The sequence below is a fragment of the Homo sapiens genome, chromosome 15 (genome assembly GCF_000001405.40).
Source record: "Homo sapiens chromosome 15, GRCh38.p14 Primary Assembly".
NCBI lineage: Eukaryota > Metazoa > Chordata > Mammalia > Primates > Hominidae > Homo > Homo sapiens.
In genome coordinates this window covers 64094573-64107423 of record NC_000015.10, presented here as the reverse complement: position 1 = coordinate 64107423, position 12851 = coordinate 64094573, and the positions used below count along the sequence as shown (strand labels likewise).

At 42.0% G+C, this 12851-nt stretch overlaps 1 protein-coding gene across 3 annotated transcripts in view, besides 3 other annotated features; it reads right to left on the bottom strand.

The window, feature by feature from the left end:
• SNX1 (sorting nexin 1) overlaps positions 1 to 11442 on the bottom strand; it is a 48250-nt gene extending 36808 nt beyond the window's left edge. For all 3 annotated transcript variants that reach the window (NM_003099.5, NM_001242933.2, NM_148955.4), the window contains exon 1: positions 11252 to 11442. In NM_003099.5, coding sequence (NP_003090.2) covers positions 11252 to 11410 — 159 coding nt within the window. In that variant the 5' untranslated portion in view covers positions 11411 to 11442. The remainder of the gene's footprint in view (positions 1 to 11251) is intronic.
• Positions 1940 to 2234: a silencer, noted in NCBI's record as "tiled region #7733; HepG2 Repressive non-DNase unmatched - State 19:H4K20". NCBI's record gives its function as "represses a minimal TATA promoter and a strong SV40 promoter by Sharpr-MPRA in HepG2 cells {active_cell/tissue: HepG2}" and the evidence as "EXISTENCE:reporter gene assay evidence [ECO:0000049][PMID:27701403]".
• Positions 11119 to 11198: an enhancer, noted in NCBI's record as "active region_9556". NCBI's record gives its function as "activates an Ori minimal core promoter by ATAC-STARR-seq in GM12878 lymphoblastoid cells {active_cell/tissue: GM12878}" and the evidence as "EXISTENCE:reporter gene assay evidence [ECO:0000049][PMID:35858748]".
• Positions 11339 to 11458: an enhancer, noted in NCBI's record as "active region_9555". NCBI's record gives its function as "activates an Ori minimal core promoter by ATAC-STARR-seq in GM12878 lymphoblastoid cells {active_cell/tissue: GM12878}" and the evidence as "EXISTENCE:reporter gene assay evidence [ECO:0000049][PMID:35858748]".

The following is a 12851-nucleotide window of genomic DNA, read 5'->3' as shown; positions in this document are numbered from 1 at the left end:
TTCACTACTTTAAGCACTGCTGTGATTCTAGGCAACTTACCTTTAGGTTGTCCAGTTGTGATTCTTCCTCATGTTGCTTAACTGCTCTTTGCTCCACACAGAACCCTTACATTACAGTCAAAGGATCTCAAAAACGTAGGTACTGTTAAAACTTAACTGTATTTAGAGGTCAAATCCAAATTAAATGGTAAGGTAACATGGCTCTTGGAGGATGAGATAACTCATTTTTTGAGGGAAAATTAGTATATTTCATAGTAAGGCAAGATAGAGCTAAGGAGTTGTGTGATCACACTAATGTAACAGGACAAGGACAATTAGGAGTAAATCTATCCCAGGAGCTATACCCAGATCATAAATGGGCCTCCATGGAGTCTTTAAAAACTACCCTGGAAGAACTTAGCATGAAATACTGTTGGTTTTGCCACCTTTACTTCTAGGGAGAAATGAGTGAGGTGGGACAGCCTATTAGTTTTTATTGCTGCTGCAACAAATCATCACAAATTTAACAGTTTAAACAATGCAAATTATCTTACAGTTCTGAAAAAGTCCAATGGGTTTTGCTGGGCTAAAATCAAGGTGTCAGTAGGGCTGTGTTCCTTTCTGGAGGTTCTAGGAAAGAATCTGTTTCCTTGCCCTTTCTGGCTTCTAGGGTTCTTTGCCTCACGGCCCACTTCTTCCATCTTCAAAGCCAGTAACATTTCATCTCTTTGCGTCTCTTCCATATCGTCTTTCATAGCCTGTCTTACATTTTTAAGGATCCTTGTGATTACACTGTCCCAGCCAGATAATCCAGGATAACTTCCATATCTTAAGGTCAGCTGATTAGCAATCTTAATTCCATCTTCAACCTTAACTCCCCCTTGCCACATAACCTAACATACTCACTGGTTGCAGGATTAAGATGTGGACTTCTTTGGGAAAAGGAAGGGGGGCATTATTCAGCCTACAGCAGACAGTGACTCCTCTCCCACCACGTTTCAAAACTGGCACAGATGCACTAAAAGTATTTGTGCTTGGGAGAATGGACATTCAATGTCCACTGGATTTCAGAATAGGGTGTACCTAACTCTACAAACTAGAGTTTAACTCCATAGCTTAAGGAGTTAAACTAGGGGTTCTTATCTTGGGGTCCATTAGCCACATACTTCAGGGGGTAATCTATGAACTTGGATGGGAATAAAATTATTATAATTTCATTTTCATTAACCTTGAACTGAAATTTGGCATATACATTAATCATAAAGATAAGCAACAAACCATAATAGAAGTACCTGAGATTGTAACTGATATTAGATATTTTTATATGAGATTATGGTTTTTATAGATCTCAAAGTCTCATTTATGCTCATCTCTATTTAAGTATGTTATTAATGTAAAATCATTTTAATTTATTAAAACTGAATTTCAATATAATTGGTTTCCTTCATATTTTAATGTATTTTATTTCATACATTTAAAAACATTATTCTGGGGATGTGTCCACAGGCTTTACAGGGCCTGCCAATTGGCCCACAGCACAAAAAAGGTAAAGAACTTCTGAGATACAGAGTAGAGGGACTAATGAAAATGGAAAAGGGAGAGCTGGAAGGATGGGGAAAATAGCATGAAGCTGACCACTGAGCTAGTTAAGGAAAATCATGTGCAAGGCCATTAGAGACCTCATGAGACCCCAGATTTAGCCTCAGACATTCTACTGAATTCTCTGGTTTAATTTCCCAACTAAACTTTTTGGGTCTCAACCTAACAAAACTTAGAAAGGGCCCAGAAAACCGCAGAAGAATCACAGTATTAATGGGTGGATTACCTTCTAAATTGAAAAAGCAAACCCAGTTCAAATCTGCTCTGAAAGCAGAATGAAGCTCCAGCTGTCCACGTGACGAAGCAAAAGAATAAGCCAGAAAAAGTTGAGCAACAGCTTTTCCTGGAGATGAGATACTTACGGCTACTTGCTCTAGTAACTATCAACTACTCATGATTTATTTATGTCAAAAGTTACTTGAGTGCTGAGAAGCTTGAGGACCAAGGAAGAGATATCAGATTTTTTTTTCTTTTCTCCAGTCCAAACTAATGAACTACAAATGGCCAAGTTGTCAGAGTGGCCTTACCACCTAAGTAAACAATGGGTTGGCAACCCTTACAGAAACCAGAAGTCTGACGGCAACCTTTATTGTTTCTCTCATAAGCCCCTAATTTTTTTTTTTTTTTGAGACAGAGTCTCGCTGTATCCCCCAGGCTGGAGTGCAGTGGTGCAACCTCCACTTCGCGGGTTCAAGCGATTCTCATGCCTCAGCCTCCTGAGTAGCTGGGATTACAGGCACGCACCACCACGCCTGGCTAATTTTTGTATTTTTAGTAGAGACAGGGGTTCGCCATGTTAGCCAGGCTGGTCTCGAACTCCTGACCTCAGGTGATCCACCCACCTCAGCCTCCCAAAGTGCTGGGATTACAGGCGTGAGCCACCGTGCCCGGCCCCAAACCCTACTTTTAAATAAATTTTAAGTCAGGTTATTATTAGCCATCTTTTTTTTTTTTTTTTTTTAAGATCAAGTCTTGCTCTGTCGCCCAGGCTGGAGTGCAGTGGCGCAATCTCAGCTCACTGCAACCTCTGCCTCCCGGGTTCAAGTGATTCTCCTGTCTCAGCGTCCCAAGTAGCTGGGATTACAGACATGCGTTGTCACACCCAGCTAAATTTTGTATTTTTAGTAGAGATGGGGTTTCACTATGTTGGCCAGGCTGGTCTTGAACTCCCAACCTCAGGTGATCTACCTGCCTTGGCCTCCCAAAGTGCTGGGATCACAGACATGAGCCACAGTGCCCGGCCTATTAGCCATCTTTAAAAGTCTTCTCCCTGGGCCGGGCGCAGTGGCTCACGCCTGTAATCCCAGCACTTTGGGAGGCTGGGGAGGGTGGATCACAAGGTCAGGAGATTGAGACCATCCTGGCTAACACGGTGAAACCCTGTCTCTACTAGAAATACAAAAAAATTAGCCGGGCGTGGTGGCGGGCGCCTGTAGTCCCAGCTACTCGGGAGGCTGAGGCAGGAGAATGGCATGAACCCGGGAGGCAGAGCTTGCAGTGAGCCAAAATCGCGCCACTGCACTCCAGCTGGGGCGACACAGCGAGACTCCGTCCCAAAAAAAAAAAAAAAAAACCCTTTACTCCAAAACTGGTGTTCTATAATTACTTTTATTAGCTTTTCCTCCATAATTCTGAAAGCTAAGTTAATTGCTAGTACAATACAATGATCAAGAAATTAATGAGTTTATGTATTTCAGGGAAATCTAAACTTATGCGAAGTAAAACTTTACTATTTGAGCTGAGCACTAAAATGAGTCTTTGCATATACCTATCACTTTTTTCAAGAATATATTTACCACAAGGTAGAATTTCAACTTCTGATCATTTGACCAGATGTGACCACTTGATGTATGTTAACTCCAAAAACAAGTGTTTGAGGCAATATCCCTGTAGAAAACACTACACACTAGAATTTTTACCAATATTAGCTATAAATGACTAAACTAGTAACTAAACAAACTAAGTGATACACCTTTGTTTAAAGATACTGTTATAAAGATTCACTTTCAGAAGTCTGATTAAGATCAGAGAAGGGCTAATATCAAGAAACTTAATGAGGATGTGTTATATCTTTGGGAACAACCACCATGCATGTTTCACAGAACAGAGAATTAAAGTATTAGCCAGATTAACCATCATTTTTCTTATGGCTTTTTAATAAAACTACCAAACTCTATAACCACTCAGAGAAATAAACTGTTTATAGTTAACAATCTTTCCATAAAGCATAAACAAAAATACCAAGCCTGAACAGTTTTATAGGTACCACCAATTTTTAAGAAACAGATCATTCCAATAGTATAAACATTCTCGAAAGAATAGAAGAAATTACCATATAATCTTAATTCCCCAAACCATACAATTTTCATGAGAAAGAAACTACAGGTTTATCTTATGAACGTAGATGTAAAAGAATATATAATAGCAATCCAAACCCAGCAATGTATAAAAAAAGACATTATTAAAAATACAAAAAACAACAAATGCTGGCAAGGATATGGAGAAAGGGGAACACTCATACACTGTGGGTGGGAATGTGAAGTAGCACAGCCATTATGGAAAACAGTATGGAGATTACTAAAAGAACTAAAAATGTAACTACCATAGCATCCAGCAACCCCACTACTAGGTATGTATCCAAAAGAAAGCAAATATATCAAAGCATATATATTTCTTCTGCATGCCCATGTTTATTCCAGCACACTATTCACAACAGTCAAGATATGGAATCAACCTAAGTGTCCATGAATGGATGAATGGATAAAGAATATGTGGTATAGGCCAGGCATGGTGGCTCACACCTGTAATCCCAACACTTCGGGAGGCCAAGGAGGGCACATCACTTGAGCCCAGGAGTTTGAGACCAGCCTAGGCAACGTGGCAAAACCCCGTCTCTACTAAAAATACAAAAATTAGCTGGGCATGGTGGCATGCACCTGTAGCCCCAGCTACTTGGGAGGCTATGATGGGAGGATCACCAGAGCACAGGAGGTCAAGGGAAGTGGGCCATGATTGCACCACTGCACTCCAGCCTGGGAGACAGAGCAAGACCCTGTGTCAAAAAAAAAAAAAAAAAAAAAAAAAGAAGGCGTGGTATATATACAAAATGGACTATTATTCAGGCATAAAAAAGAATGAACTCCTGTTATTTAGAGCAACATGGATGGAACTGGAGGTCATTACGTTAAGTGAAAGAAGTCAGGCACAGAAAGACAAATGTCAAGTGTTCTCACTCATCTGTGGGAGTCAAAAACATGGATCTCATGGAGGTAGAGGGTACAATGGTGATTCCCAGAAGCTGAGAAGGGAAGGCAGGGCAGGATGAGGAGAAGTTGGTTAATGGGTACAAAAATACAATTAGAAGGAATAAGTTCTAGTATTTGACAGCAGGAAGATTACAGTTAGCAATAATTTATCGTATGTTCCAAAAGAGCTAGAAGAATTCTAATGTTCTCAACAAAAAGATAAATGTTTGAGGTGATGAATATCCCAAATTCCTTGATTTGGTCATCACACTTTGTATACAGATATCAAAATACCATGTGTATCCTAAAAATATGTACAACTATATCAATAAAAAATACAAAAAAGACAATATACAATAACCACGTTGAGTCCACTCCAGTAAAGCAGCTCACCATATAACAGATTTAAGACAGAAACCCCATGACCAAGGGATGTCAAAAAATAATAAAATTCAATAGATATTTTAAAATTTTTATCAAAACAGCAATAGAAGGAAACTTTTTAAAAAACTTGGTATCTACAAAAAATCTTTAACAAGCATTATTCTTTAATTTTTTTTCTTTTTATGTTTAGTTGACAATTGTACATGTTTATGGGATTCTGAGTGATATTTCAATATATGCATACAATGTGCAATGATCAAATCAGGATAATTAGTATATCCAGCATCTCAAACATTTATCATTTCTTTGTGCTGTAAACATTCAAAATCCTCTCTTTCAGAAAGCTTTTTGAAAATATACAATAAATACAGTTAACCACATTCACTCTACAGGGCTGCAGAATAAGAGAGCTCAGTCCTCCTATCTAGCTGTAATTTGGTATCTGTTACCAGAGGTTGGTTAGGATTCAAAATTAAACAGGTTTTAAAAAGCTGAGGTGAGACCATAAAATGGTGCAACTACCATGGAAAGCAGTATGGAGGTTCTTCAAACAATTGAAAATAGAACTACCACAAGATCCAGGAATCCTACTTCTGGATATATATCCAAAAGAATTAAAAGCAGGATTTTGAGGAGATGTTTGCACACTCATGTTGACATCAGCACTATTTACAATTGCCAAGAGGAGAAAGCAAACCCAAATGTCCACTGGCAGATAAATAAAATGTGCTATATACATTCAATGCAATATTATTCAGCCTTAAAAAAGAAGAAAATCTTGTCACATGTTATAACATGGATGAACCTTGAGGACACTGTGCTAAGTAAAATAAGCCAGTCACAAAACAAATACTATTTGACTCCAACTTATATGAGGTATCAAAAATAGACAAATTGACAGAAACAAAGTTAGAATGGTGATTGATTACCAGGGACTGTGGAAGCTGTTTAATAAGTACAGAGTTTCAGATTTGCAAAATGAGGAAGTTTTGGATCTCTGTTACACAACAATGTGAATATACTTAGTGCTACTAAACTATACACTTAAAAATGATTAAGATGGCAAATTTTGTCATGTGAATTTTACCCCAGTTTTTTCAAAAAGATTGTTTTTGGGCCAAGCGTGGTGACTCACGCATATAATTCTAGCACTTTGGGAGGCCAAGGTGGGAGGATCACTTGAGCCCAGTAGTTAAGAGACCAGTCTGGGCAACACAGGGAGACCCCCATCTCTACAAAAAAATAAATAAATGAAAAATTAGCTGGGCATGGTGGCACATGCTACGCAGGAGGCTGAGGTGAGAGGATCACTTAGCTCAAGAGGTAGAGGCTGCAGTGAGCCATGATGGTGCCACTGCCCTCTAGCCTGGGAGACAGACAGAAACCTTGTATTTATTTATCAACAAACAAATAAAAAGCTTTTGCCTTCTCTCGCAAGATGTTATAGTGATCACAGATTTAGGAGTAGTTTCTGAAAAGACCATGTCCTTTCCTGCCTAAATGTTAATACATAACTTACATAACTCTCTAAACTATTTGTAGTTTTAAAGCAATGACTTCAAATTTATTTCAGTAATTTTTTTGAGTCTCTTTTTTTTTTTTTTTTTTTTTTGAGATGGAGTTTTGCTCTGTTACCCAGGCTGGTGGGCCCTGGCACGATCTCGGCTCACTGCAACCTCCAACTCCCAGGTTCAAGCCAAGTGATTCTCTTGCCTCAGCCTCCACAGCAGCTGGGATTACAGGTGTGTGCCACCACGCCCGGCTAATTTTTGTGTTTTTAGTAGAAACAGGGTTTCACCATGTTGGCCAGGCTGGTCTAGAACTCCTGCCCTTGTGATACGCCCGCCTCGGCCTGTCAAAATGCTGGGATTACAAGCATGAGCCACTGCGCCTGGCCAATTCTCTCCCATTTAAGTAACTGGTTTACAGATTCTGAGATGCATGTGTAAGCCTGCTCTTTCAAGTATAAATTAAACCACATTTTAATTACTGAACTAACAAAGCCTCTTGGGCTGTAAAAGAGAGCAGATGGGATGATTAACAGCAGCAGTTGTATCAATGCCCAGGAAATTACGGGCATACCATAAATTAGTTTTAACTTTACATGCCTCAACTTCAAAATTCTTCAATGCTCCTCTCTGTCTCCAACATGAAACAAAATAAAAGATGAAGATTAACTTAAATTAGCAAAATGCTATTGAGGTCGGTCGGGCATGGTGGCTCATGCCTGTAATCCCAGCACTTTGGGATACCAAGGCAGGCAGATCCCTTGAGGTCAGGAGTTCCTGACCAGCCTGGCCAACATGGTAAAACCCCATCTCTACTAAAAATACAAAAATTGGCCAGGCACGCTAGTACGTGCCTGTAATCCCAGCTACTCAGGAGGTTGAGGCAGGAGAATCGCTTGAACCCAGGAGGCAGGGGCTGCAGTGAGCTGAGATTGTGCCACTGCACTCCAGCTTGAACAAAAAGAGTGAGACTATGTCTCAAAAAAATGAAGTCATTAAGTGTCTATTTGATGCTTTTAGCTAATCAAATAAATATCACTAGTTTTGTTGTTGTTTTGAGATGGGGTTTCACTTTTTCGCCCAGGCTAGAGTACAGTGGTGCAATCCTGGCTCACTAAAGCCTCAAGCTCCTGGGCTCAAGTGATCCTCCCACCTCAGCTTCACAAGTATGCGGGACTACAGGCTTATGCCACCATGCCAGGCTAATAATAGTTTTGACTTTGATCAACTGTATTACCCATTTTTAATGTTAACTTTTCTAATCCATTATTAGATTTTGTGGGTTTTTTTAGAGTAATTCCAGTTTACAAAATGCTCACCAACAAATACAGCTCATGCCCTCAAAAAGTAAGCACTCTTTAAATGTTTATTATGGAGGGAACATCTTCTAAGCACTTTACAGGCATTTTAATTTAATCTTCACAATAGTGGTGGAGGTAAATACTAGTATTATTCACTTTTTACACGTGAGGAAACTGTAGAGAGTAATTAAGTACCATGTTCAGGGATAAGCTAGCCAGCCATAGAGCCTAGATTTAAATCAGACTTCAAAGCCCACACTCTTAATTACTTAATTCTTCAATGTTGTTCTTTAAAATACCACAAGTGCTGCAATCCTCTATCTTCTTTGGCTCACAACTAAAGCATGTATTGGATTATAATTTGTTCTTTATGGCTGTTTAACAAGACAGTTAAACTAGCGAGCTCTCTTGGGGTCTTGGCATCCTGAAGATTAACATCAGGATGGGCAGCTTGAAAAATGGCTTATAGGTGGCATTTTAGTTTCCTTAGCAACTCAATTTTCCTAGATCATATCTAAATAAAAATAATTATGCTTTCTGCAGTAGAACAAGGTCATTCTGACCTCCTCAACTCTCTTTTAGCTGGAAATTAGGCAAAGGATTTTTACAGTCTTACAAAAAAGAGGTATTGATAACTCCATAAAGTATGGTAAGATGAATCAAACTGAAGCCTCCTACATTTCTTTTTTAAATTTCTACTTTTTTTTTTTTTTTTTTTGAGAGAGAGTCTTGCTGTGTCACCTAGGCTGGAGCACAGTGGCACAATCTCGGCTCACTGCAACCTCTGCCTCCCGGGTTCAAGTGATTCTTGTGCCTCAGCCTCCCTAGCTGGGATTACAGGCACGTGCCACCATGCCCAGATAATTTTTGTATTTTTAGTAGAGATGGGGTTTTGCCATGTTGGCCAGCCTGGTCTCGATTCCTGGCCTCAAGTGATCCTCTTGCCTTGGCCTCCCAAAGTGCTGAGATTACACGTGTGCATGGCACTCGGCCACTGCTTCAGGTTAACTCTAGAAAATAACTCCTCACTCTTCCAGGTTCCTTTTTGGAAAATAAATCAACATTTGCCTATGTGACCAATCACTTTCAGTGTCAGAGTTTCTGTTTTCATATTCTCAGTCTGCACATCATTCCAGCAGTTACCAACAGTAGCTGTCTTCCATGACTTATAGAAGAATTACTAAAGGAACAGACTAAATACTTACTTAAAATAACATACAGAAGGACTAAATTAGCGGCAAGAATTATTATTTCTCAGGCATGCACCTGCAATCCCAGCTACTTAGGAGGAAGGGAGGATCCATTGAGCCCAGAAGTTCAAGACAAGCCTGGGCAACACAGGGAGACTATGTCTCTAAAAACAAACAAAAATTGTTTCCTGTTTTATGACAGTCACAAAGACTTATTATTTCTCAGAATAAGAGACTTCATTTGACAGTTTTAGTTGTTATATTAGAATTATCAAGCACCTTATGAGCTGAGATTATGGACTCAATTTCTGAATACAGGACAGGGAAAATCTGACACAAATGAGGAAAGCCTCAAACTTTTTCAGACCACATGTTGCATAAAGAATTTATAGCTGTTTTATTTAGTTGGTTACACACTGAGTAGCTACTGTGAAGAGAAGCATTATGCCAAACAGATAAATTCACAGACCCAGCATTGAATTTTACAGCCTGGAACAACCTATACCAAGTGGTATGAGTAAATATTCTCATAAAATAGCCCAAAACATCTCTACTGGTTCCATAACTGATTACTGATTTCCACATTACAAAGATTATTTTTTTCTAATACCTAACTCTTATTAGAGACCCGGATATTTATTACTGAGGCAGGAGAATAGGGTCTGGAGGCAGGGAACTTAAGGGCAATTCATGCTGAATCAAGGAAAAACACCAAGGTTTGGGGGCAGGGAATCTGAGGTCAACTTACGTTAACTTTCTAAAAGAGAAAACACCAAGGTCTGGGGGCAAGGAATCTAAGGCCAATTCGTGCTGACTTCCCAAAGCTGAATTCCCAAAAGGAACCCCCTGGGTTTGGGGGCAGGGAACCTAAGGCCAATTAAGGCCAACTTCCTAAAGCTAAACCAAAAGGAAAAAACCCATCTGCCCACGCCCGAGTGGCAAAGGATCAAAGGCTACTATCCCTGCAACCCTCCCCATCCACCACGTCTCACATGGAAAGGGAGAGTGCCTTAGACTGGCCGCAGGCCAAGCAGGGACCATCCGTTCATCTGCACAGGACGCCAATTCACCTCGGCCTTTAGCCACAGACCAAATCCTTCATCCAGATAAGGGGTAACCCATAGGAACCATAAAAGGAGCACTTAAAATCCAGAAAACTTTGTAAGTGGGCTCTTGAGCCCCTTGCTCCGGCCCACTCACACCCTGTGGGGTGCTTTCTCGCTTTAATAAATTCCTGCTTTCGCTGCTTCGTTTGTGTTTCATTCCTTTGTTATTTTGTGCGTTTTGTCCAATTATTTGTTCAAAATGCCAAGAACCTCGACAACCTACACTCAAGGGCCTCCTACCGGTAACATTACGGGAAACACCATTTCCTCATCACATTTCAGATTTGCTCCCAGTGAGGTACGTGGGCACTTGAACACATCCCTTTAAAAAGGAGAAAGCTTTCTGATCTATGTAGTGATTTATCTGGCAGTGCCTTCTGTCCACCAGCCTCTGGCCTGATTTTCCTAGAGATCAGAAGAATCAACATAACTTTTGTAAACTAAGATCCAGAAAGGGCCTTTGGTTATTATCGGTAAATGCTGGGCTAAAGAAAGAACTGGTGGGCGGGTCACCACCCCAGGCTAGTCCACATAACGCTATTCATCTTAGAAGCAGTAAGACGGGGGAAAGGTCTGCATCCCATTCGCTTATTCCGTCCTACTGAATCTGCCTTGGCAGGACACGACCTGCAAAATAACCCCGTGGATCCGTGGAGTGTCACCACACTGCAGGGTCAAAGGACGGCGTCGGCGGTTCTCGGCTGTTAGGGAGCTAGCCGACGAAGGCACCACAACCCTCATTCTTTACTCTTCCCGCCTGGGGGCCGGGAAGCCAAGCTCTACCGCTTCGAGCACATCCAGGGTCCCCGGGGCCCGGACTGCTGACACCGAGGCAAGGTCTCACCGGGCCCACTCTGCCCAACCTCCCCGATTCTCGCTTAGCCTCTCTTCCCTTTCGGGGTGCCCTCCCGCCTGCTACCCCGAGGGGTGCAAACTCACGACCACCGCGGCGCCGGTGAAAATGTCCTCCCCCTCGGTGTCGCTGTCCCCAGCCTCGGGTTCTGATCCCCCGGCCGCCCCCTCGGACTCCGGCTCCAGGCCGGGGAAGGGCGGAGGCAGTCTCTCCGAAGCGCTACAGCCACCACCACCCGACGCCATCTTCTTCCACCCGCGGCGGAAGCCGCAACAACAACTTTATCGAGAGATAGCGCCGTGAGCAAAGCGATCCAACGGTGCGAGGAGTGGGAGGGCCGCAAGGGACCCCGTGGGATCCGAGGGGCGGAGACCTAGGGGCGGGGCTTAGGCGCTGGGGGCGGGGCGGCACCCGGCCAGCTGAGGCTGCGCAGCAAATCCGAGGCCTGGTTCGCGATGCTGAGATATTAACGAGTGGGGCCAAAGGGGCAGAAAAGTAGGAGTTAGGGGCTGCTCAGGTTTCTAGGGCCCTTTGTGCTCTGGATAGCTTTATCCAACAGGCTTCTAAGAGTTCGTCTGAATGAAGGAGTGTCACTAAAATGTTTGAAAACCTCTACATGCCATCTACCCATGCCAAGCACAATGCCCTCACAGAGAGTCAATAAATATTTCGATTGAGGTATCTGAACAAGACTAGAAGAAAGCTTCACCACTTATTCCTTGAGCAACATTCAGTTAATTCATTAAGAAATACAGATACTGAGCATCTACTGTATGCCTGGCACCTTGCTGTGAGTTTCAGATACAGAAATCAGGTATTTAATCGACAGTTCGACATGTTCAATGCTATGGTGCCCTGTGGGAGCACAGGGAAAGAGATAATCAATTCTGCTTGGAGAAGTAGGGAGGCCTCACAGATGAAGTGAGGCCTCAGTGTCCTAGATTTGGCTGGAAAAATGTTAGGATTATCCTCTCAATTGCTGTGGAGTAAGTGGAGTGGAATAGACGGCAGGGAAATTATTGAACCCTGACCAAAATTTCCTTGGGACCTAAGCAATTCATTGTCTGGTGATCCTAAGGCCTACATTAACTAGACAAACAAGACTGGAGTTTAAAGATAAATGGGCATGTTAGCATGGGACAATTCTGCAAGATAATCCTATCTTCTCAATAGAAATGGCATTTGTCACCAACTTTGACAAGAGGTTTAGTTAGTTTGGTTGTAACTGCAAATTCAGGGATGGACTCCCTCACAGGTCATGTGAGCTGTTTGAAGGCGGGGGCAGCGTTTTATCTTTGTATCTTCCATGCCTATGGATCACCTATGGCAAATTAGTACCTACAAATTTGATCGGAGGGATGGATGGATAAAATAAAATCGATTTTGTTACTGGCATCCATCACACCCACGAACACCAGAGGGCTTAAGATACACTTTTTTTTTTTTTTTTTTTTTTGAGGGAAGTCTCGCTCTTCTCCCCCAGGCTTGAGTGCAATGGCTCGATCTTGGTTCACTGCAACCTCTGCCTCCTGAGTTCAAACGATTCTCCTGCCTCTGCCTCCCAAGTAGCTGGGATTAAGGCCCCTGCCACCACGCCCAGCTAATTTTTGTATTTTTTAGTAGAGACGGGGTTTGCCCATGTTGGCCAGGCTGGTCTCGAACTCCTGACCTCAGGTGATCCGCCCG